At 39.7% G+C, this 24,644-nt stretch overlaps 2 long non-coding RNA genes across 2 annotated transcripts in view; one reads left to right on the top strand and one right to left on the bottom strand.

Annotated features, from left to right (window-relative positions):
- Positions 1–19,913, bottom strand: part of LINC01902 (long intergenic non-protein coding RNA 1902) — a 48,285-nt gene extending 28,372 nt beyond the window's left edge. The window contains exon 1 of the long non-coding RNA NR_151703.1: positions 19,710–19,913. This is a non-coding gene — a long non-coding RNA (long intergenic non-protein coding RNA 1902). The remainder of the gene's footprint in view (positions 1–19,709) is intronic.
- Positions 1–21,326, top strand: part of LINC01901 (long intergenic non-protein coding RNA 1901) — an 84,572-nt gene extending 63,246 nt beyond the window's left edge. Inside the window, exon 4 of the long non-coding RNA NR_187474.1 lies at positions 19,750–21,326. This is a non-coding gene — a long non-coding RNA (long intergenic non-protein coding RNA 1901). The remainder of the gene's footprint in view (positions 1–19,749) is intronic.
- The last annotated feature ends 3,318 nt before the right edge of the window (positions 21,327–24,644 follow it).

The raw sequence follows: 24,644 nt of genomic DNA, 5'->3' as shown, positions 1-24,644 counted from the left end.
CTGCCCAAGGTAATTTACAGATTCAATGCCATCCCCATCAAGCTACCAATGACTTTCTTCACAGAATTGGAAAAAACTACTTTAAAGTTCATATGGAACCAAAAAAGAGCCCGCATCGCCAAGTCAATCCTAAGCCAAAAGAACAAAGCTGGAGGCATCACACTACCTGACTTCAAACTATACTACAAGGCTACAGTAACCAAAACAGCATGGTACTGGTACCAAAACAGAGATATAGATCAATGGAACAGAACAGAGCCCTCAGAAATAATGCCGCATATCTACAACTATCTGATCTTTGACAAACCTGAGAAAAACAAGCAATGGGGAAAGGATTCCCTATTTAATAAATGGTGCTGGGAAAACTGGCTAGCCATATGTAGAAAGCTGAAACTGGATCCCTTCCTTACACCTTATACAAAAATCAATTCAAGATGGATTAAAGATTTAAACGTTAGACCTAAAACCATAAAAACCCTAGAAGAAAACCTAGGCATTACCATTCAGGACATAGGCGTGGGCAAGGACTTCATGTCTAAAACACCAAAAGCAATGGCAACAAAAGCCAAAATTGACAAATGGGATCTAATTAAACTCAAGAGCTTCTGCACAGCAAAAGAAACTACCATCAGAGTGAACAGGCAACCTACAACATGGGAGAAAATTTTCACAACCTACTCGTCTGACAAAGGGCTAATATCCAGAATCTACAATGAACTCAAACAAATTTACAAGAAAAAAACAAACAACCCCATCAAAAAGTGGGCAAAGGACATGAACAGACACTTCTCAAAAGAAGACATTTATGCAGCCAAAAAACACATGAAGAAATGCTCATCATCACTGGCCATCAGAGAAATGCAAATCAAAACCACTATGAGATATCATCTCACACCAGTTAGAATGGCAATCATTAAAAAGTCAGGAAACAACAGGTGCTGGAGAGGATGTGGAGAAATAGGAACACTTTTACACTGTTGGTGGGACTGTAAACTAGTTCAACCATTGTGGAAGTCAGTGTGGCGATTCCTCAGGGATCTAGAACTAGAAATACCATTTGACCCAGCCATCCCATTACTGGGTATATACCCAAAGGACTATAAATCATGCTGCTATAAAGACACATGCACACGTATGTTTATTGCGGCACTATTCACAATAGCAAAGACTTGGAACCAACCCAAATGTCCAACAATGATAGACTGGATTAAGAAAATGTGGCACATATACACCATGGAATACTATGCAGCCATAAAATATGATGAGTTCATGTCCTTTGTAGGGACATGGATGAAATTGGAAACCATCATTCTCAGTAAACTATCGCAAGAACAAAAAACCAAACACCGCATGTTCTCACTCATAGGTGGGAATTGAACAATGAGATCACATGGACACAGGAAGGGGAATATCACACTCTGGGGACTGTGGTGGGGTCGGGGGAGGGGGGAGGGATAGCATTGGGAGATATACCTAATGCTAGATGACACGTTAGTGGGTGCAGCGCACCAGCATGGCACATGTATACATATGTAACTAACCTGCACAATGTGCACATGTACCCTAAAACTTAGAGTATAATAAAAAAAAAAATTAAAAAAAAATAAAATAAAATAAAATAAAATAAAGACTTAGCTCAGATACTACTATAGTTTATAGATTATGAGCCCACATTAATGGGAAGGTTAGAGAAATTAGAAATAGGTGGTTATTTTACCTCTTAATGTCATGTTTCTTAAGGCAGCTCTTTAAATAGTTCCATGAGTTCTTCCTTAAATGAACAAACATCACTCATATACAGACATTTATGCTGGGAAATGTTGACAAAGGAAACAAAATAATGCAAGTAGGTTCCTCAAGAACCTCCTTTGTATACTATGAAGAATGAGGCCTCCAGAGTTCTTGTTTCCTCCCTAACCTTGTTTATAGCCCTCTTAGCTTTTTGCTCTGTGTTTTAGCTCTAGTGTTGCAAATGCCTCCCAAACTGCTTCTTGAAGAGCCTTCCTCACCCTGTCATCCCAGACCAGGTGAAACCATTTTGGTTTCTACCCTTAAATAACACTGTATTTCTCCACAGCACTCAACACAATTGCGAGTTAAATAATCATTTGTTTACTGTTTTCCATGTGCTAGACTACAAAGCTCAATGAGAATTGGGGTGGCAGATATCTGGCTTGCCACTATAATTCCCAACATGGTTATATGTGGGTTTTCAGCAAATATGTCGAATGAATGAGTGGCAAGCTAATATCCAGGTGTGTTATGATCTCCGCATACTCCCTCTAACACGTTCATGGTTCCATGAAGGCAATAATAGGCTTTCCCATGTCTCCTGCCTTCAGAATTATTAAGATTCATCTTTAGTCTCAACAATTCCATGAGTTTCATATGGTTCTTCCCTCCAGAATGATTTTGCTCTTCTCAAGGTGTTTGCATTGTATATTTTGCACTGTTACTTAAGTGTGTACTCACTAAGCATTTTTTTCTCCCATTAGTCTGTCATAGTATATATTAGTCCATTCTCATGTTCCTAATAAAGATATACCTGAGACTGGGTAATTTATAAAGAAAAGAGATTTAAGGGACTCACACTTCCATATGGCTGGGGAGGCCTCCCAATCATGGGGGAAGGTGAAGGAACGAACAGCAAAGTCTCATCTTACATGGTGGCAGGCAAGAGAGAGCACGTGCAGGAGAACTTTCCTTTATCAAAACATCAGATCTCATGAGACTTATTCACTATCATGAGAACAGCACAGGAAAAACCCACCCCCATAATTCAATTACCTTCCACCCGGTCCCTCCCATGACACATGGGGATTATTACAATTCAAGGTGAGATTTCGGTGGGAACACAGAGCCAAAGCATATCATGGTACTTCTTTTTTTCTATCTTTTTTTTGGTGGTTCTAAGACAAATAATATATGATGTAGGAGAAATACAAACACACACACACACACACACACACACACACACACACGTACATGCACATATACAAACAGAAACCAGATAGACAGATAAGTGTTATCTCAGTGATTTTGTCTCATACTGATCCCACTGGCCATTTATTAAACTTAAAGGTGGTTTTGACATCCTGGGAATACCTCGTTTTCTCCTCAGAATGGCATTTTGGCCAATTAATCTAAGCTAAATGACCTTGACTATATTCAATAAGTACTCCTATCATCCAATTATTTTCCTTCTCTCAAACAAAGAATCACTTTCACAGTAAAAGATAAAACAGGGATGTGTTCAATCAATTTATATTGAACAAATGAATTATTGTCTACATATCTCTAGCCATCTTTTAAATACATATTAGATATCAAACAAATAGAGGGAAGTACTTGGTTTTAAGTGCTATAATCCTATTGACAACATGGCCTGTGGTTTTTGAGAATATAACAGCCAGGTTGGACTTGCTTATGTAAAGGTAAAAAATAACTCCCAAATCTCAGAAACAAACAAACAAAGAACCAATAACGTTTATTCCTTACTCATGTTATTTGTCAGCCACGAGTTGGGTGGCTCTGTTTTTAACATACTTAATCAGGAGATTGTCTGAGCAAAGCTTCTATGCTGTGCTTATGATTCCAAAAGTGGGAGAGAGGAGCCAGGCAAATGCATACCTTGGCCAAAGAAAAGTCAAGACAAACCTCCGAGGGTATGGAAAATGTTATCTTATGATGTGCCTGGAGGAAAGAAAACAGGCATCATTTAGAGCATAGCACTAATGTCTAGCACAGAAGGAAATTGCTAAATTTTGCGATGTAAATTATAGATTACAAAAGAATAAAAGAACTAAGGGAAAAAGGGAAGATAGACTTTACAAAACAAAAAGGACGTAGATCTTTGTTGTCAAGAGAGAATACATTGTAGGGCTTATTTTTAAAGGATTAAACTAACAATGAAATGTAAATTCTCTTATTCTCAAATATTTAAGGGGGAATAAACAGTTGCAACTTGAGAGACTTTAGTCCTGAGGGGTCCTGAGATTTCAGTACTTTAAACCAGTGAGGAAGGGACTTTATTTCAGGATTTAATGCCTGGAAAATGGGACTGGCAGGGCAGTCAGAGAATGGTTGCTAACACTGAGAAGAGTGGTGTCAAATCATGGGATGCAGGCACAGAATCTGGAATTTAACTGAGAAGCACTACATGAAGTCAAGCACAGTGGAGGGCCCTGGCGAGCACAGTGCTTCTGCTAACTCTCTCTGTTTGGAGTGACTCCCCACTATGGTGGACTGGTAAATGAGATGGACCTTCCAGGAGGAGCCTGTGCTGGCCATAGTGAGGGGATGTGTTCCACCCCAGGCTGATTGATAGGATTCCCAAATTGGAGGGCAATTTGAGGTGCTTACCAGAAAACTCAGGTAGAAGACAAGCTGGATGGAGAAGGAAAACCTGGTGGTGTGTGTGTGTTTACATTAAAGACATTTGCAAAGTCTGTATAGGAACTAGTTGTGTGGTAGGTTGATATTTACAAACAGCAGACCAGAAAATCAGATCAAGAGAGGGGTTCATGGTAAAGAAAATATTTCTGCAATTCATAAACCACACATGGTGACTTTTTTCAGAGTACAAGGAGGATAATTAGGCAAAGATATTTAAGAATGTGTTTGCCTAGGGAAACCAACCATGCTGAATTCAGTGCAGGGTAGTAGAGAGAAGAAAAGGTGCAGACAAATCAGATGTCTTTAAAGCAGAGGATGAAGCTGATAAACTCTGAAATTTCCAAACAATACCAGTTGGGACAAGCATTATCTATACCCAGGGTGTCCAATCTTTTGGCTTCCCTGGGCCACATTGGAAGAAGAACTGTCTTGGGCCACACGTAAAATACACTAATACTAATGATAGCTGATGAGAGAAAATAATTGCAAAAAATTTTATGTTTTAAGAAACTTTACAAATCTGTTTTGGGCCACATTCAAAGCCATCCTGGGCCACATGTAGGGCACAGACTGCGGGCTGGACAAGCTTGATTTACACCAAGGACAAAAAAGCAAAGTGCTCACATAGAATCTTCTGCAAGACCAAGAGGACTCTGGCCTCTAACTCTGCTATCTCCAGTTATTTTCCTCATGGTTCACATGGAGCCGAACCACTCTTGTTGAGTACCAGATATTACTCCGTGTACATTTTTCCTTCAAAGGTTGCTATGGAGTCTGACTTAGGTTTTCTCCACTGAGTTACCCTGGTAATTTTCCCAAGGTCAGGTAGATGTCAGATATGGTCTTCGAGAAAGTTTCACACCATGATTGTAACCCTTAGTGTGCTTTACTTGCCATTGGATCTCTGGCCAGATGATACCAACACCCTCAAATTTGCCTTCCCATGTGTGTAATATCAGGTTTCCAGAAGCATCCTTACTTATTTCTATTTAGAATTGAACTCTTAGTTGCTCAGACATACCAAATTCCAATGTCACCAAGTGAGTATTAATGCCTCATATGGCTAGGGGAAAATTTTGACTTCATTTTTTTACATATATCATTTGTAAATCTCTACTAAACTTTTAACATTTGCATAAAATATTCTGGCACAAATGTGGCAAAGTTATTTGTTTAATAATCAGTGATTGAGAAAGGACTATGTTCCTTGATTCGTGCTTATTGGTTGAATAGATGTGAGGAATGCCATCTTTCCTGTTGAAGTGTTCACAGGACAGTCTGGAAATAAAATAAATGGACAAATAGCTGTAGTTCAGCAAGTTCGGTGAGAGAAGATGGTGATGATGAAAATGGTAAAATCTCCTGTAGCCCGCAGCTACAGGACCCCAATAACTGTGCTCTCTGGGGTTCCAAAGTGTAACTGAGTGGACATACTACTGATCTGATACTTTTTACATTACTTGGGCTACTGTGAAGAAAGACTCATTTTTTTTGTGGTTGTTTTGTTTTTTAGAGAAAGGGTCTAGCCATGTTGTACAGGCTGGTCTTGAACCCCTAGGCTTCTGCGGTCTTCCTGCCTCAGCTTCTCAAGTATCTAGGACTACACACAGGTGTGAAGAATGACTGGTTTCTAACTTCTCTCTGAACTCTGCTCCCTCCGATTAATTTTAAATCTCACTGGGCCTCAGTTTCCATTTGCATTCACAAGAGGGCATTGCTCTTCCTCCAAGTTCTGTTTGAAGGGATAATTAGGGGAGGCATTGAGCTTCATAAGAGAGCCACTACATCTGGATGCCATACATATTTCTGGGGGCAGCCTTGCCTCTGCAGTGAGCCAGGGCCCTACATGGTTTCCTGCTTTGTATTCAATGGGTTAAGATGGAACAAAACAAAATTAAACAAAGCAGAATAACAATAACAACAAAGAAACCCACAGGCATCTGTGGACAGGACTGCAGTGAGATCCTTGACTGCAGAGGTTTCTGTCAAACAAAGAGGTCAGGAAAAGTGTGACTTATACACCATTGGTTACATATTTTGGCCAAGATGGGAGATGAAAGAACACAGTCAATATTCTGTGTAATTGTTGATTACCAGTGCTGCTCATGGCAATTATATTCCTGAGATGGTCAGGAAAATTGTATTTCTCTGGAGAAAGCTGCTTGGGAGTTATTTCATCTAGTACCCATATTGATACTATAAAATAAGAACTAGGGGATATAAAAATTAGAAAATCATTATTTAATCTCAGGAGTTTGTTGTTTCTTCTCTTTCTTTTTTTTTAAATTTAGCATCAATGAAAAGGATGAAAAGATTATGACTGACAGAGTTTCTGCACTCTTATTTGCCAATATATTGGGAAGCAACAGTAAGGAATTCATCTTCTATTAGCTGGACACAAAGACTGTTGGCATCTAAAGTGTTATGCCCAGGAAAGTAACACTTATGAAAAGGCTTGTGAGAGTGGCTTTCATTAGAACTTATCCAAAGGGTGCTGACATAATAAAGGCTAGAGCCTCAAGGTTCTCTGTTGGGTTCCAAATCTGGAAGGACATCAATCCTCTCTTCCTTTTTTTTGTTCTCCGTCCCTCCTCTCTTCTCTCTCTCCTTTCCTCTCTCTGTCTTCCTCTCCCTTTGTCTATATTTTCCTGCGGAAACTGTGGTCTGTATGTATCACATCTTACCCAGTGGCTAGAGTGATCTGAGCCCTAGAAATTCTGCTGAGTAACCATGGTGATTTTCTTTTCTGACATCCTCCCCCTCGACTTTCACTGACCACACCACTAGTTGCTGATGTGTAGAACCACTCCTGATGAACCTCATAAACTCTGACTTCCAAAATCTCCCACTACTAATACCAGGATTTGCATAATGCATGTTTCAAAGCAGGGCCATCATGCAGGACCTCCCAGTGGAATCACTAGGCTTTCCATCCAAGCTACCTAAATTTCAGAAAATTTTAATTTGACAAACATTCATTAGATGCTTACCATAAGCTGAATATTGCATTTAAATGCATATTAATAGTAATTTATATATTTTTAATTAACATGTATAATAATGTGTAATAAAGTGTAATTAATATATAATATTGATAAGATATATTACACTCTAGATTGCAAATCCAATGCTTAAGAATAACAGTCTTAGCGACTGTTTGATTATTATATGGCTGGTGTTGTATAAAGCACTCTTTATATATTAGTGCATTTCATCTCCACAACATACCAATGGGACAGTTCATATTACAATGTTCTCGTTTCTCAGGAGGAACTTGAGGTTTAAAGAGATTATATTATTTGCAGTCACATAGGTAGTTAGTTGTAAAGAAGACTCAAACCCAGAGTGCCTTACTGCAAAGACCATGCTGTCAACCACAGTACTCTCTCTCTTTGCTTCAACACAGGTAACATACCTCTTCTCTGTTTAGTGATTATGTGCTCCAACTTCATGATGTGATTGTGTCATTATTCTGTGAGTGGGGCCACAGATGCTGCTGGATTCATCTACTTCTAAATTATTGTAGAGATTCTTAGGTACGATCCCATAGCTGGGCTCACCTGTTCTCATATTTGCTTGCAAAGCGTCACTGTCCTGTTTTTAGCTCTGCGCCATTCTAGGGCATGGTGACAGTAGTTGTCACTTTAGGAGTCTGCATACCATCTCTGTCCTTTACATGCTCATAAAGATGGCACAAATCCCCCATCCAGTGCAACTAGCTTCTGCTTTTGAGAAGTCATCAGCTGCCAAAGCCTCCTGTTTCCTCTTAGTCAAAACCCAAGGACCAAAGAAGTCATCTGAATCCCAGATTACTTCCTTGGGATCTTTGTTCTTTATATTCCAACCTTAATCTGGTGGCCAGGCCAAGAATTAAAACAAAATTCTAAGACACTACGATGCTTCGCTGATGTCTGCATTACCTTACTCTCCACAGCAGAACTTTGCTAAAGTATTTAATTTATACTGAAAGTAAAAACCACTGTATAGCAAATATGGAAACCTATTTAGCAAATCTATACACAAATTGAAACCTGCTCCATCCTAGAAGTTTCTACTGTACATATCTGTCACTCAAACCCTAAATAGCCTCCAGATCATGCCTTATGGTTGAAGTCCTTAAGAGGTACCATCTGTGGCATGGCCAGGATAGGCTCCTCCTAGAAAAACAGGCTGTATAGTAGCCCCAGGGCATCTCTGCTGTTCTGTCATCACTAAATCCTGCCTTCTTGCCTATGGCTCTAATTTTCCTCTTTCATGCAAGGTTCTGCCTATAGGGTCATAGTGTCTAAGAATATCCCCCACATTCACCTTCTTCACCCACAGTAGCTGACAGTGAACTTGTATATAACCAATAACTGATGCTAGGATTTTAGTATGCGGTCTCTAGCAAACAGAAATATTTGGGCCAATTATGATTCTTTCACTGCACAGGTTCTCAATTTGCTGTCTCCCCCAGCATAGTCGGGACAGGACTGGGTTTTGTGGGATCCTGAGAACTAGGCAATTGAATATCTCTTTCAGGAAATCAATACAATATTATGAACAAAAAATCACAAACAATATTTTTAAATTAGTATTTATTTAGTATAATGAAATAAATGAAAATAAATTATAATTTTTAAAGGTGAAAAATTCCAGATATTACTATATAATGGTATAAAAATACTGATTTCCTAAAACACCTATATAATATTTTAATTTTGAAAATATTTTTGCAATCTTTAAATTAATGTACTATGTAATTAACTTTGTTTTGATATACAGCTTATCTACATGTATCTACATGTAGATACATGTAACTACTAACAAAATTGAGATACAGAACAGTTAATCATACCCCAAAATTTCCTCATATTATTTCTTTGTAGTTAAAACCATCTCTCAACCCTATTCCCTAAAAAAACAATGGTTTGTTCTCCTTCCATATAATTTACCTTTTGCGTAATGTCATTCAAAGGAAATCATATACTATTATGAATTTTTCAGATTGACTTTTACCACTAAAAAAAAACTTTCTGATTCATTCAAGCTGCGTGCCCATATACAGTTCCGTTGTTTTTATTGTTCAGTAGTATTCCATTGCATGGATGTACCCATAGTTTATCTCTTCATATTTTTTCTACACTTGTGCTTGTACACTATTCATAAGATTTTATAATATTCTCTCTAAGATAATAGAAAATCAGACTTTCTCCTAACAAGATTGAACTTTGATTTTTACTGCTGTAGTTTTAAAAAATGTATTTCAGGGCTGGGTGCGGTGGTTCACGCCTATAATCCCAGCACTTTGGGAGGTCGAAGCGGGTGGATCACCTAAGGTCAGGAGTCCGAGACCAATCTGGCCAACATGGTGAAACCCCATTTCCACTAAGAATACAAAAATTTGCTGGGCATGGTGTGTGTCTGTAATCCCAGCTACTCAGGAGGCTGAAGCAGGAGAATTGCTTGAACCCAGGAGGCGGAGGTTGCAGTGAGCCGAGATTGCGCCACTGCACTCCGCCTGGACGACAAGAGCAAAACTCTGTCAAAAAAAAAAAAAAAAACAAAAAGGCTTTCAGTTTTATCATGTTGTTTCTGGTGAATTTGGAAAACATTTTCAGATTGCTATCAAAGTTGGGGAAATCTCCATCAACTTTCCTTCATACTTGAGCAGTACAGTTTGGAAAAATTTTCTGCTGATTAGATCTCGCTACACACATTTCACTCGTTGATTTTCCTTCAGTTGCCCAATCCTTTGGGTGCCAGGAACTGAACGGCACATTCATAGGACAGTCAGCCCCTGACCCTATGCTTTCATGTTCGCAAGTCCTTCGAGTCAGCACAGTCGGAAATAGGAAAAGTCCTGGATAGCCATGCATCCTCTGATCTAGTAAGAACTTAATCATCCATAAAAGGATTGCAAATCACTTAACCATATCCCACTATATCAATCCAAATGTATCCTCAAATCAACTTTCCCTTAGCTCAGTGCAAATTTGCCTGCAGCCATTTTAATGCCATCTTGAGAAAGAGCAAGTGTGAAAGGGAGAAAAACTCAAAGTAGAAATAGATAATGGTCTTAATTAATGGAAGTTCAAATATCTTAGTCTGCAAATTTGTGAAGCTCAGAGGCTTTATTCTTAACCATTCTACTATAGCTGCCCTCCATAGAGACTAGGCCACAACATTAAATCCTGAGGTCTGGTTGGTTTTGAAAAACTCATTCTAATCCCATGTCTCTCTCAGAGCTCCTGTTCTGAGGATGGGAAATGTCAGGAACTACGGAGAATAGTATACTTCTAATTTCTCTCTTGGGTTTTAGAGAGTGGTTCTCAAGATAAAATTCATATATGCATTCTCTGTTTTCCCAGGTCTCTCTTAGGGTTTCAGCTGGTTCCAATCCTTATAATGCTTGCTCCCCGCTCAGTCCATTTCATAGAAAATATCTCATTTTTTCTCCCCTGATGGTCTTAGGAATATTCTCACATGTGCTCCTGAATGAATTATATTGGTTTCCCAAGGTAATCCACAAAATATTCATTGTCGATTATCTCTGCCAGGTATGTAGCATGACAATGTTCTCAGTGGACACCATACAACACTCTCCTAGAAAACCAGCACCTCCAGGGGACTTCTGTGGGCTGCAGCCACCTCTCCTAGCTCTAGAAATGTTTCTAAAGGGATCTACAGGTGAAGCTATCTAAAACTTAGTGGTGCTGCTATCCTGGAGTAAAATAGAGAAATGTCTTGTTCCTTGCTGATGGACAATGTGATTAATTGCTTTCAAAAATCAAACCATCAAACATGCTAAGCTAACATGCTTAGCACAAACATGCTAAGGTGCTAACAGCCTGAAGGACCCTTGTAAGTATAATATTTCCCTTTCCAGCTGAGGGGGGTGATTTTTAGAGGCAATTATCTGGTCCTTATTTCCCCAAGAGGGATCCTCTAATTCTAGGAAGCATCTTCTATACATTATTAAGATGTATGGAATGTGGTCTGAATGACAGTTATCCTGCTGCCCAGTGATGAAGCACCATGCAATCTGTGGGTGCATGACTGTTCATTGGAAGGGAACCCTATAATTATGAACTTTAGGACACAATTTGGTCTTATACTTGGTCTTATTATGTTCAACATGGAGATAAAAAATCAAATGTATTACATTTGTGAAAAAAAGAAAGTTGAAAATAATAATATACTCTATAGTAGAATTAATAATACAAATTATTAATAATTTTTGGAACCAATAATTTCACCTCCAGCACTGATTCTAGGAAAATAATCAGTGATGTGTAGCAGGATGTACAAATGTTATTTATTAAATAAACATTGTGAGTAGTAGTTGCTGTATTAATTTGCTAGGACTGCCATAACAAAGTAACACAGACTGATAACTTAAACTGAAGGCATCTATTTTCTCACAGGGCTAGAAGTCCGAAATGAAGGTGTCAGCAAGACTGGTTTCTTCTGAGGCTGCTCTCATTGGCTTGTATCTAGCCATCTTCTCTTTGTGTCTTTATATGATCTTTCCTCTATTTGCTTCTGTGTCCTAATCTCTTCTTATAAGGACACCAGTCGTATTAAATTAAAGCCCACCCTAATGTCCTCTTTTTTAACGTAATTTCCCCCTTAAAGACTTATTTCCAAATACAGTCACATTCTGATATACTGAGGTTAGGATTTCAACATATAAACTGTGGTAGGGGACATATTCAACACGTAACAGTCACATAATAGGAGACTCATTAAATTCATTTTGGTACATTGTACTTGATACTCTGCAGCCACTAACAATTATGATGTTTTGTGAATAGCTATGGGCATAAGACAATGTTTATGGTAAAGAGTTAGTTTTAAAAATGTGTTATAAGTCAGGCATGGTGGTTGTGTGACTGTGGTCTTAGCTACTCAGGAGGCTGGAGTGAGAGATCACTTGTGGCCAGGAGTTTGAGGCCAGGCCACAGTGTGCTATGATTGTGCCTGTGAATAGCCACTGCACGTCAGACAGGATGACATAGTGAGACCCTATCTTGAAAATACATACATATACACACACACATACACACACACACAGACACATAAAGTTGTTAAAAAGTTGAGAATATAATCAATTTTATCAAATTAAAATAATTTGTTGCCTTATCTGCTCATGAAAACCTAATTCCTTAAACAAATCTCACTGTCAAAACTTTCCGCAGATCACTTCAGAGTGATCCACAGATGCTCAGTTAAAAGTCAACATTCAAGGTGTCCTCCATGCCTGGCCAAACAGGGCCTAGGCCTGCCCTACTGGCCATGTAGTCTCTCCTGCTGTTCTTTCAGGCAGAACTACTTCCTTTCAGAAGCCACCACTGCTCTTGGCACAATGGTGATGCTGCCACTCTACTCTAGGCCTTGCAGTGCACCCTGCCTTTCTTCTTGTCTCGGTATCATGTCAAGCCCCCAGGCACTGCTTGGCCCCAGTGTTTTCCTGGTACCCTCCTGAGACCCTGCAGCACCAGGCAGCTCTTGGAGGGCCAAGGCTGAGTACCATCCTATGGTAAAGTGAGAAGGGGTGTCCTGTTCCCATTGTGTTGCCAGTTAAGTTGCTTGGGTTCTAATAGGATGCAGGTTTGTAGGTGAAATAGCACTTGCTGGGCCGGGCGCAGTGGCTCATGCCTGTAAATCCAGCACTTTGGGAGGCCGAGGTGGGTGGATCACCTGAGGTCAAGAGTTTAAGACCTGGCATGATTAAACCCCGTCTCTACAGAAAATACAAAAAAATTAGCCAGGCATGTTGGCGGGCACCTGTAATCCCAGCTACTTGGGATGCTGAGGCAGGAGAATCACTTGAAACCTTGAGGTGGAGGTTGCAGTGAGCCAAGGTTGCACTACTGCACACCAGCTTGGGCAACAAGAATGAAACTCTGTCTCAAAATACAAAATAAAAAAAAAAAGAAGAAATAGCATTTGCTGTTTCTAATTACAGATTTTCTGTTTCCTACAGCTTTTAAACATGAGTCAAATGGAGATTAGGTTGGGAGACAACTCTAAAGACAAAAAGTTCTGAAGGATTTCTAACTATCAGGTTGGTGCAAAAGTAAATGCAGTTTTTGCCATTGAAAGTAATGGCAGAAATTGCAATTACTTTTGCACCAAGCTAATAGTTCACACTAAGGTGCCTGGATCCGTCATCGTTCCAAGAGGTTGCAGACATCCCACAAAGGTTTATCAGATATGTCAAATCCCTACTTAGAACTAAGTTGGGATACCTGATGTGTATGTGTGTGTGTTTGCATCAAGATTTGTTCTAAATAATACAAATTATAATATGGTCATATATTCAGGGCATGTGTATGTATAGATATAGATATTTCTGCAGAGAGAAGGAGAAAGACAATTACTAATTACTATTTCTTCTGGATTGTATAATTATAAGTGTTTATTTTTCTCTTGTTTGCCTTCCTAATTTATATACTTTTTTAAGAAGCATTTATTATTTACACAACTTTTTTAGCCTTCTAAAACACAGGGGAAATACTGTCAATAAAGAAGGAATAACAGAGGAAAAGTTCAACAGGTCAGAACTAATAATGTCAATTTTAATAGATTTAATTTTAAAGTTCTAAGTTCTATTAAAAATTATTTGCATTTGTATACACAGGAAACTCTGGTCTATTTCCAGATGATATGTAATGGTTCTGAGGTTTTTCATTGTTCCTAGAAGATAAAGAGTCCACTTCCAGAGGACAGTCAGCAGGGGATGCCTGAGTTTGTGTGCAGTGTCCTCTGACGTGGATGCGAGAAATCCAGCCATCATTAACTTAAAGAAGAGAGGACTTGCACATCTTAGTAGCTTTCAATATCTGACAGGCTGCCTCATGAAATAAAGATAAGATGGATTTATTGGATTAGATAGGTTTGTCTAGAAAACAAAACTAAGGCCAATATTTTCTTCATTTTAATACAAATATATTGACCACCTACTCAATGCCAAGCATTGAAGATAAGAAGAATAAAAACAAAAAGAATGCTATAGAAGTAGGTATCTCTCAATACATTTTAAAATGACTTTTTGAAAACATTTACTCACAGAATAGGTTGATTTTTTTTCAGGTGGCTTTTAATATAGTGAGTCTCCCATCCTTAAAATGTTCTGAGTGAGGCTGTACAATCATCTCCCAAGGATGCAATATCAGGAATTTCTGAATTCAGATAACCTAGAGCTATGATTCTCAAACTTTAATGTTGAGCAGAATCACCTTGAGGGCTTATTAAAACACAGATCCCTGGGTGCTCCCCATAGATAATTTGCATTCTAGTAAGGTCCCAGGAGACACTGATGCTGTTGATCCATGGACCACACCTGGAGAAGCAATGGCCTACGATAGGATGTACCAGGTTCTTCCTTCCAAGATTTGTCATTCTAAGACTACAGAGAAGAATGTCTCCCTTCTCAAATGTATTTACTTCAGCTTACTGAAAAAGAAAAGATGGTTGAAGAAAAGAAACAATCTGCTCAAAAGCAAAAACTACCCAAAGTGATAGACCTGTTTCTGGGGCAGTGAGATGTTAAGAAGAAAAAGTTTCAAGCAAGCCTCCCCTGATGATTCTTGTAAAATGGTTTCAAATATATATTTTTTTCAAAGATCCCCAATTACACTGTACACAGCTCTTAGACTGCACTGACAAAGCTTTAAAAAATGATGCATTTACTCCATGCAGGCAGCAGTCTCTGGAGCCAAAGCCTCAGCGTTAGAGATGTGTCGCAGCTGGTTTCAGGGCTGCGTTGAAAGCTTCAAGCTTTGGCACGACTGAGCATTAACTCAGCATTAAGCAGAAGCTTTGACACTGGAGACTACAAACTTGGATGGATTAAATACACATTTTGAATATCTTACAAAATACTAGCATTAAGGGAGAGAAGGAGATTGTTAAAAAGAGAGAGTATGAAGGGTATAAAAAGCATGCGACATAAATGAGAAGAGACATTGGTCTGGCAAAGCTATCCTAACCTTTACCACAGCTCCCTTGTCTCTCGGACTTTAGAACACTTACATCCATCTTTTCAACAGGAGCGGCTTTTTGAGATATTTGAATATGTGTGTACTTACCATCAAAAGACAATGCAAAAATTTTTGATAATATGACACACTCTGCACTAGCAGATTTCATTAAGAGATTCAGGCAAATTGGAGCCCAGCTTCTGGCACCAGAGCAGCAAAGTCACCATAAAGTAAGCATTCAATATATTTGGATAGGTTACTAAAATATAAGTAATAAATAATGTCTTCTAGTTCTAACATGCATGTAACTTTTTTCACAATTTCACAGATACTGACTCATTTGATTCTCACCATAATTCATATGTTAGATCAGCATTGTCTCACCCATTGCCTTCCCCAACACATTCTCTTTTAAAAATATAGAAGATATAGTATCTGAGAGATTTAGTTCCTTGCCCAAGGTTATATAGAGGATTAAAGGAAGTATCAGGGCAAAATGCCAGTTTTACTAAAACCAAGTTCTCAGACTTTCCTTCGCACTATGCATACATTAGTTCCAATTCCCAGTTCTACCACTGTAAATAAATTCTACTCATATATTTAAACTCCACATTCAATGAGAGCCCTCTAAAGATTCTGGAGAATCTCTCTGTAGAAATATAACATAATAGTGATAACCAGCAATAACCTACTATTCTCACCATCCAATGTTTTAAAAGTAGGAATTTAAAAGTTTTCCTTTAGAATTGCCCAACTGGCTTGTCAGAATTCCACTTCAACTCCAGAGTAGATGTATCTGTTAAATACAAAGTTTCGTTCTTTTCCTTCCTTCCTTCTTTCCTTCCTCCCTTTCTCCTTTCCTCCCTCCCTCTTTCTCTTTCTTTCATTTTAGTGGTAGTGTTGAGGACAGGAAATTCTAGATCAGATTAATAAACTCAAGTGGACTAAGGAAACAGAAGTCATGCTGGCAAATTTTCACTGTAAGCATGTCTTAAGTAAACAGCTTCACCAGCTAAAAGAATGTTTTGGGATGCACATGCATATTCTGTCAACTTAGACTATATGTGAAAATTCTAACATGATTGTTTGCAGGTATTAATTAATCCAGCCATCTGATTGCTTTTTTGCTGGCCCAACACGATGACAAATTTGGTTTTTATTACTAAATTGCTTGGAAAATATCTAGATATTATGCTATTACAGTCCCAGATGCATTTTCTTTTTTATATTTCTTCAACCTCCAACAATTATTTATTAAACATCTACCCTTAAGTTCCTGAACTATAAAGTGGATAGATATGATCCTTATTTTCAGTAAGTTTGGAGAGTGGGAAGGAGACACACATATGTCCAATTATTTACAACAAATTGTTACCAGTAGCTAATAGAAGCTGCTATGATCTAAATGATTTTGTCCCCCGCAAAATGTATATATTGAAACCTAATCCCCAATGCAATAGTTTTAAGATGTGGGGCTTCCGAGAGGGGTTTACATCCTGAGAGCAGAGCCCATATGAATGGGATTAGCGCCTTTATAAAAGAGGCCTAAAGTAGCTTGTTCACTGACTTCACCATGTGAAAAAATAGCAAGAAGTCACCATCTGTGAAGCAGAGAGGGAGCCCTCATCAGACATCAAATCTGCTGGTGCCTTATTCTTGGATTTCCCAGCCCTTATAGCTGTGAAAAATAAATTTCTGTTGTTTACAAATTACTCAGTCTAATGTGTTTTGCTATAGCAGCCTGAATGGACCGAGACAGAAGTTTATATGGGAAGAAGTGCTGCACAATGAAGAAGTAATTGTTATCTGGGCATGCTAAGAAAACTTGTATAACAGATGCAATATTTTAATGAAAATCTGTAAGAAAGAGTCTACTAGGGCACAGCATATTGCATACAGGTATGGGTTGATAGAAATCTAAAAGGGTAAGACACTGATTTTGTCTATTCAATCTTACCAATGAAGATAATGCCACTAGGAGAACTTTGACACAGCTAGTGGCTGTTGTTACAGAAACTCTCTCTATCTTTGCATTCTAATGAGTTTAGAGAGTTGTAATGTTCTTCTCCACCTACCCTTCATTTAGGGTTGATAGGCACATCTGATATCACCACAATATTACAATATTATTGAAGATGAAAAAAGGTTTAGGGGCCTGGTTTATGCAGGTGGGTCATCTTAGAATGAATTCAATTTACAATTCTGCTTCTTCACTCTGCTTATCTAACCAAAAAGTTATTTGTACGCATATTTAGAAGTTAAAGCTGTAGTAAATCAAATATTTCCTGGTAGATAAGCCTATCATGGCTTATCTACCATGGCTGGTCCACAGGAAATAGATTCATTGGTACATCATAGGAGAGGGTACACCCCTAGCCCCATACCTGGAAAATAAGGTGACAAATATTAGACAGAAAGACCAAAGCAATTGGGCAGGAAAGCAACTGGCTTCAGGAACGACTGGCAAGTGAGTGTAGCAGAGCGGCAGGGAGCACGGGAAACACACACAGTGAGCATGAGGAAGCCTGGCAACAGAGAGTTCTATCCCCAGGCCATTCTGCAGACCTCAGGAATACTGGCACCAACAAGCCAGGTTCCCACTCCAGAAAACTGAGCTTGTTAAGATCACCTAATCAAGCACAAGACCTAGGGAACGTGAGAAGAGGGTAAAGCATCAGTATGGGTTTGTTCTATTCATGTGGCCCCTCATGTAGTCTGAGTAGTGAATTCAGGAGGCTGATACTATGGCTTATTTTAGAAAGGAGAAAACTGAGTGTCAGGAAATCCAGACAGAGAACAGTCACTGGGCCAGAAGCAAAGTTAAGGATGCTAGATCATTAAACTCCAGCCCAACACTTCCAAAATACCTTGTGACAAAAACTGACTGTCAGAACCCCATAGGGCTGTATCTCTATCTGTGGGGATGTCTGTGTGTTTCTGTACCTGTTTCAGAGGGGTATAAAAAGTGGGAAGGGCGAATGAAGATGATCAGGTTATTACATTACCCTTTAAGGTTTTAAAATCTGATGGCATTTATGACAATCATATTGTGATCCATCTACTAAAACATAAAAACATGGAGGCCTAATCTCTCTAGGTTTAGGATGCAGTTCTGTCTCTGGAATATCAAGTAACGCAGTATCGAATGTAAAGGCTGCCTTTGACTGAGGACACTCTGGGAAACAATTTTCCGCTGCATGTTAGCCTATCTGCAATCAAAGTGTGTGTGTATCTCTGATTTTTTTAATCCCTTCACTTCTTTCTCTCTCTTTTCCCTCATTGTGTCCTTACTTCCCCCGCCTCCCTCCCCCGCAAAACACTTTTCTCTTGCCTATGGAGATGGGCACCAAAAGGAAATTGATGCAGTGGCGGGTTTAATATGACATTTGAAAAGTGACTTTTTGATTTTCAATTAACCTTGCACAAAGAGGAAATATTGAAATTCGCCCCTTTGTTCTTGGCTGGATCTGCAGACAGGCTGGTTGGTACCAAGAGCTGAACCGGGTTTTGGGTGGGGCGATAGGGAAGGAAGAGGCAGGTTGAGGAAAGTAAGAGAAAATCTGGCACCTACCAAAGCCGCGCTCTGCTTCTATTTGCACGAAATGAGACAAGACTAGCCTGTACTAATTACTCTCAGAAGGGGGAAACAGGTAGGAGAGAAAATGCTCTTGTCATTTGTTTGACTTAATTGTATGCTTTTATGAGCCGTCTGGCTGGAAGGATTAAAGTTACTTTTAATAACACTTCCTTTCAGAAAGAATGTGATTTGAAGTTTCCCAGCAGGGCCTCCCAGTCAACAGCAGGACCCTTTCCCCAATCCCTGACCCCTCCCTTTCCCCCACCGCCCACCCCCCCACCAGTCAACCCTCTCCCCTTCCCTTCTTTGAAAGGCCCATTGTTCTGTTTGTAGAAGAAAGAGATGCTTACACCATAATATAAGACAATAAAGTTAACTCCATAAGTCTCCTCTTTCCGGATTTTCTATGCAATCTTTACTAAAGGCAGTAGTATCTCCCCCGCCCACCCAGCCTCTCCGCTCTCCCCCCTCCCCTCCTTAACTTCCTCCACCACCCTATTCCCTGCACTCCCCCCTACACAGCCCCCGCTCCTTTTTGCAAAAGGAAACATTGAAAATCATATATGGAAAATAAAGTAGCTTGGCGCTTTGGACCTCATTAAGCTGCGTGTGGACACCAGCGTGGTGACAGTGACAAGGTTCCATAAACACACGCATCGCAGGTGATTAGGGCAGCCCGCTTCCGCTGATGGACCTTCCGCTTTTTGTCTCTGTTCTTGCAGGGTTTCTGCTCCTTGCTCCCTAGCTGTTTTCTCTCGCTCTCTTTTTACCTTCTCACTGTTTTTGTCTGTGTTTCCTTTTGCTCTGCAGTTTCCACCGCGCCAGAGTCTTGACCCTGAGTGGCATCGGCAGGGTCTCCTGCGGCAGACCAGGGGTGTTGCGGGCTGCGCTGGGTGGGGGACCGCGCGCTGCACGTGCAGTGCCGCCCGGACGGCGGCGAAAGGACAGCGGTGCACCCCGCCCGAGGCCCCAGCGATCCATCAGGGCGGCTGTACGCGGGAAGACGCTTCATCTCATCCCTAGATGGCAGCAGGATTCTGAAGCTGGCGCAGCCCTGGGCAGCCCTTTCTGGTCTATTTTCCTGAACAGATTGCCAGGGGATACGGCGGCTAAACAGCCAGGCGCCTCCCCGGAGCGCAGCTCAGACAGAAGAGCAAGCCGGACAGACGCCGCTGGCGAGGCTTCGGGGGTCAGATCCTGCAGCTTGGACACCACATTCTCTCTTTTTGCACACAGATGTGCTACTGTGTAAAAATAAGCAAACAAACAAAAACGGGAGTTCAGCTTCTTGGAGAATGTGTCATGGTCAAGACCAGTGATTCTGGACGGTGACAAAAGTCCTGGAGGCCTGAGTGCACAGAGGACACACGCACAGATGCACATGAACTCATGGAGAAACACTGGTCTTCTCTGCCAGGGACCAGGCTGGCCATGCAGGAAGGGAGCAGGATGTGAAGATTCAGACTTTAGCTCCAGCTTCACTACCGTCCTGCCGTGCACTTTGGGGGAAGATTCGTTCTGTTCCTGAGCCTTAGTTATTTTATCTGTAAAATTGGGGTTATTATAGCTTTCAGCTCTGTGTACATACAAAAGACTGTTAGGATTATCAAGAGGAACAAAGAAGGGGGAAAAATCACTTTGGCAGGAACAGGCTCACTGCTGCAGCTTTTGGCCCAGAGCAGGCATTTTTCTTCAGAGGAAGCTTCCAAATGGTGCTACAGTATTTATTTTGATCAGCCAGATATGACTTATTTGAAAACAAAGGGCAGAGGTTGTTTCGCACCTTAAAAGCTGAGGGCTTTTGTCTCCAAACCACTTATTTTGTCCACACCCAGTCCCTCATCATGGACTTTGTCATCCCTTGGAAATCCTTTACATCAGAAATCTTTATCACCAGAAACTACACACAGTAGCCCAATAGCTGCATCCCCGAGGGCCCCAGGATGAAATAGGAAAAGCTGAAACTACTCTGGTTGGAGTATATGCTATATTGGAAAAAGTTACTGTTAACATGGTATATAACATACTGAGTGAGTCAGAAAATTTTCTCACCAAGTCTGAGTCAGAGGAAAAAAAATCAAAGATTTAAAAAAATTCCTCATATTACGTTCAGTACATTTTGCTTGTTTTCTTTGAGTTCTGTTCTCTTCTAGCACCATGGCAACCTTCGTCACACAAGGAGCAGGAGGACAAAGGTGACAGATGTTTACCTCTTTATTTTGTCTAGGGTCTTGTTTCCTTCACTCTCACCTGATTCAAACTTTCAGCAAATGTACAAGGGCCAGAAACACTTCCTCCTGACCCTGACCCCAGCAATTTTGTAATATGTGTAAAACCTTAAGTAACTTTGATTATTTACACCAAATAAAGTAGAGCTTCACAGTCTACAACTTTGCTTACTGGGGGTTTTATAGGACTCAAAGTAAAGCTGTTTCAAAATGATGAGGAGGTGGGACAAGGGGGAAAACAAGAAGAAGATACTATACAAAAGTCTAGCCATTGAGTTATCCTTCCTTAAAAACATTATGCCAGATCATGGGGCAGAAAACAGAGTCGAAATTTTCTATCATTTGACTACGTCCCCTGTTCGGTTTGAATATTAGGCCTAATTTGAACTATTATTAGCTCTAGCTTCCTGTAGCATCAACCCCAGAATTATTATCACATCAGTAATTCCAGCAGTCTCATACTATACTGTTGACTCACCACATCACCTCATCTTATAGCTTTCTAATAATCTCTCTCATTCCGCCAATTCTTCAACCTCATAAAGTCCTCTGCTTGAGTGATCCTCACACTATCCTGAAAATCAGCTTCTCTTTGTTCCCCACCTAGCTCTTGCCATAAGCCTTGCCAGCCTGACCCCCAAGCTTGGTCACCTGAATCATTATTACTAAGAGCCCTCCCACCTTCTCTTCTGGAAAAAGCATAACCCTAACTGGAAACTTATAGAGAGCATAGAAAAAGATCAAAACTACAATCTGCATTCTTTTCTCCTAGAGCCAGGGAACAAGACAATGTTGGTGGAAATCATCCAGCCTTGCTTATTGTTATCAACAAATTCACTGCACACAATCTTGGATGGACCTTTTATGCTGCCTAATATTTTACTTATTCTTGATTATTTATTTTTCACTAGTTATTTTGTTTACTTACACATAGTGATTCTTCTTTCCTGGGATCTTTAGTGAATATGCCAAAACATTGGCCTTCTCTTCAAGGTTTTTACCACCCTATACACTCTCATAGCAGGCAAACCCCTCAACTACCTCACAGAAGAATGAAAGCCACTGGGGAAATGGGCCTCATCACTCTGCTCCCCATCAAAATGTTTATCTACCTGTACTCCTTTCTTTACTTCCTTTCCTCCTGTCTCAAGGGAGAGAAGCCCTTTATAGTAGCACTCCATCCAGCAATTCTCTCCATCTCATCTTTTCTCATTTCCGCTAGGACAGAGATTCATCAGTTATTCTCCCTCTCTTCTATGTCTTTAACCACCCGCTCTGACCCTCACAGTGTTTTTCTTTCTATACCCATTCCCTTCTCATTCATGTATTAATCATCTGTCCTACTCTCTAGATGACCAGAAGTGCTGAGCCACAGTCATGTGTCACTTAACTACACGGACACATTGTGAAAATTGCTTCACTGGGCAATTTTGTTGTTATGCAAACATCATCATTTCCCTCCACAAACCTAGATGGTTTAGCCTACTACTCACCTAAGCTAGAGAGTATGACCCATTGCTCCTAGGCTGCAAACCTATAAAGCATAATATTGTACTGAGTAATGTAAGCAATTATAAAACATCGGTAAGTATTTGCACATCTAAACATACATAAGCATAGAAAAGGCATAGTAAAAATACTGTATTGTAATCTTATAAAACCACCGCCCTAGCTATGGCCTATTGGTGACCAAAATGTTGTTACCCAGCATATGGCGGTAGTTGTAGGATCTCACACACACACACACACACTCACACTCCAGTCCTCTGCCACACTTCTTTACCTTTGTTCTTCATCCATGTCTCTGTGATGTAGAATGACTTTCTGACACTTTTTTTTTTCCAGATTCTTGCTCATCCTTTAAGACTCAGGCTCAAGGATCATACTCTAAAGAGTAAATGTTTCTTAACATCCAACATAAGCTAAGATCCTTTTATTTTGCCCTTGCAGAGAGCACATACCTTTTGATAGCAGTTACGCACTCATTTTATCTCAATGTAATTTCTATTTAACACATTAGACTATGAGCTCCTGAAGGGCAAAAACTATGTCTTATTCAGCTTTATTTTCTTGGTGCCAAATGCCGGCCCAGGCACATAGTCTTAAACTTTGTTTTATATGAATCAGTCATATTGCCTTCTATACCTGTTGCCTTGTAAGAAAAACGTTTGCTTACACCAGCAGAATAGAGTTTCCTAAACTCTGTTCTGGGTCATCAGGCCCCTCTCCTCATTTTGGCTGTTTGGACTGTGCAGTGTACTAGTTTAAAGGCCAGCCAACCTAACTTGTCAGTTTTCTATAAGATGGACTGAAAGAGAAAGCTCTTCTGAAACAATCATGATATAATCAAGGAGACTTTCAAATTTGAAATGGATGCTGTAAAGGAGGAAGGTGGCAGCAGAAACAACAACTTCAAGGTCAGGAGACAACTAGAAGCTAGGAGACAAGAAGAGTTATAATGGTCCTTCAGTGAGCTGAGTTTCAAGAGCAGAAGTAATAAATGTATATTTAGATTCCAAGTAATAATTCACCTCAAGCTCTCATAGAAAGTGTCAGAATGGGGACTAGAACCCAGCTCTCTTTCTATTAAGACCAGTGCTCTTTCTAGTTCAACTTACATGTTTTGTTCATTATTTTATATAACTTAATGGGCATTTCTAAAGTTAGGTGTAAAATATTCAGGCCTTACCTAGTAAGAAAGAAAGGAAGACAGATACAAAGTTAGGAAGAAAATAAAAAATAGACCATTGAAATAGAAAGGAAGAGTGTGAAGTTAACAACTATGTTATTAGTTAACACATTATAAATTACTGAAGGTGGACTTTTTTAAGTTAAAGAGTTCTGCATAGAGAATAAAAATTAATGATCACAATTGATTGGTGTTTACTACAGCCAGGCAGTCAGTATATCATCATCATCATCATCATCATCATCATCACGTGTACTTAATGGTCACTACTTAAAGAACTAACATGTATAAGATCTTCACAATAATCCCTTGAGTAGTTACTATAATAAGGCAAACATTAAAAATCAGAAAATTGAGGTGCAGGAGTTAAGTAAATTGATTAAATTACACAGCCAAAAAGTTGAAAGCCAATAAATATACATTTATTCACATGAATTATCTAATTTAATCATTGTAGCAATTTTTAAAAGGAGTAATATAATCATATTTCACAGTTATATAGCTATCATTTTATAAAGGAGAACTCTGAGACATCAGTTGCGTAACATTTTGTGCTCTTTGCTGGTATGACCCTATTCTATCTGATATAAAAATACATGTCTTGGCCAGGTGTGGTGGCTCATGCCTGTAATCCCAGCACTTGGGGAGGCCAAGGCAGGAGGATCGCTTCAGCTCAGGAGTTTGAGATCAGCCTAGTCAACATAGTGAGACCTTGTCTCTACAAAAAATCAAAAAATTAGCCATGCATAGTGGCATGTGCCTGTTGTCACAGCTACTTGGGAAGCTGA

Source organism: Homo sapiens, chromosome 18 (genome assembly GCF_000001405.40).
Source record: "Homo sapiens chromosome 18, GRCh38.p14 Primary Assembly".
Taxonomy (NCBI): Eukaryota; Metazoa; Chordata; class Mammalia; order Primates; family Hominidae; genus Homo; species Homo sapiens.
This window is presented reverse-complemented; position numbering and strand designations above follow the sequence as displayed.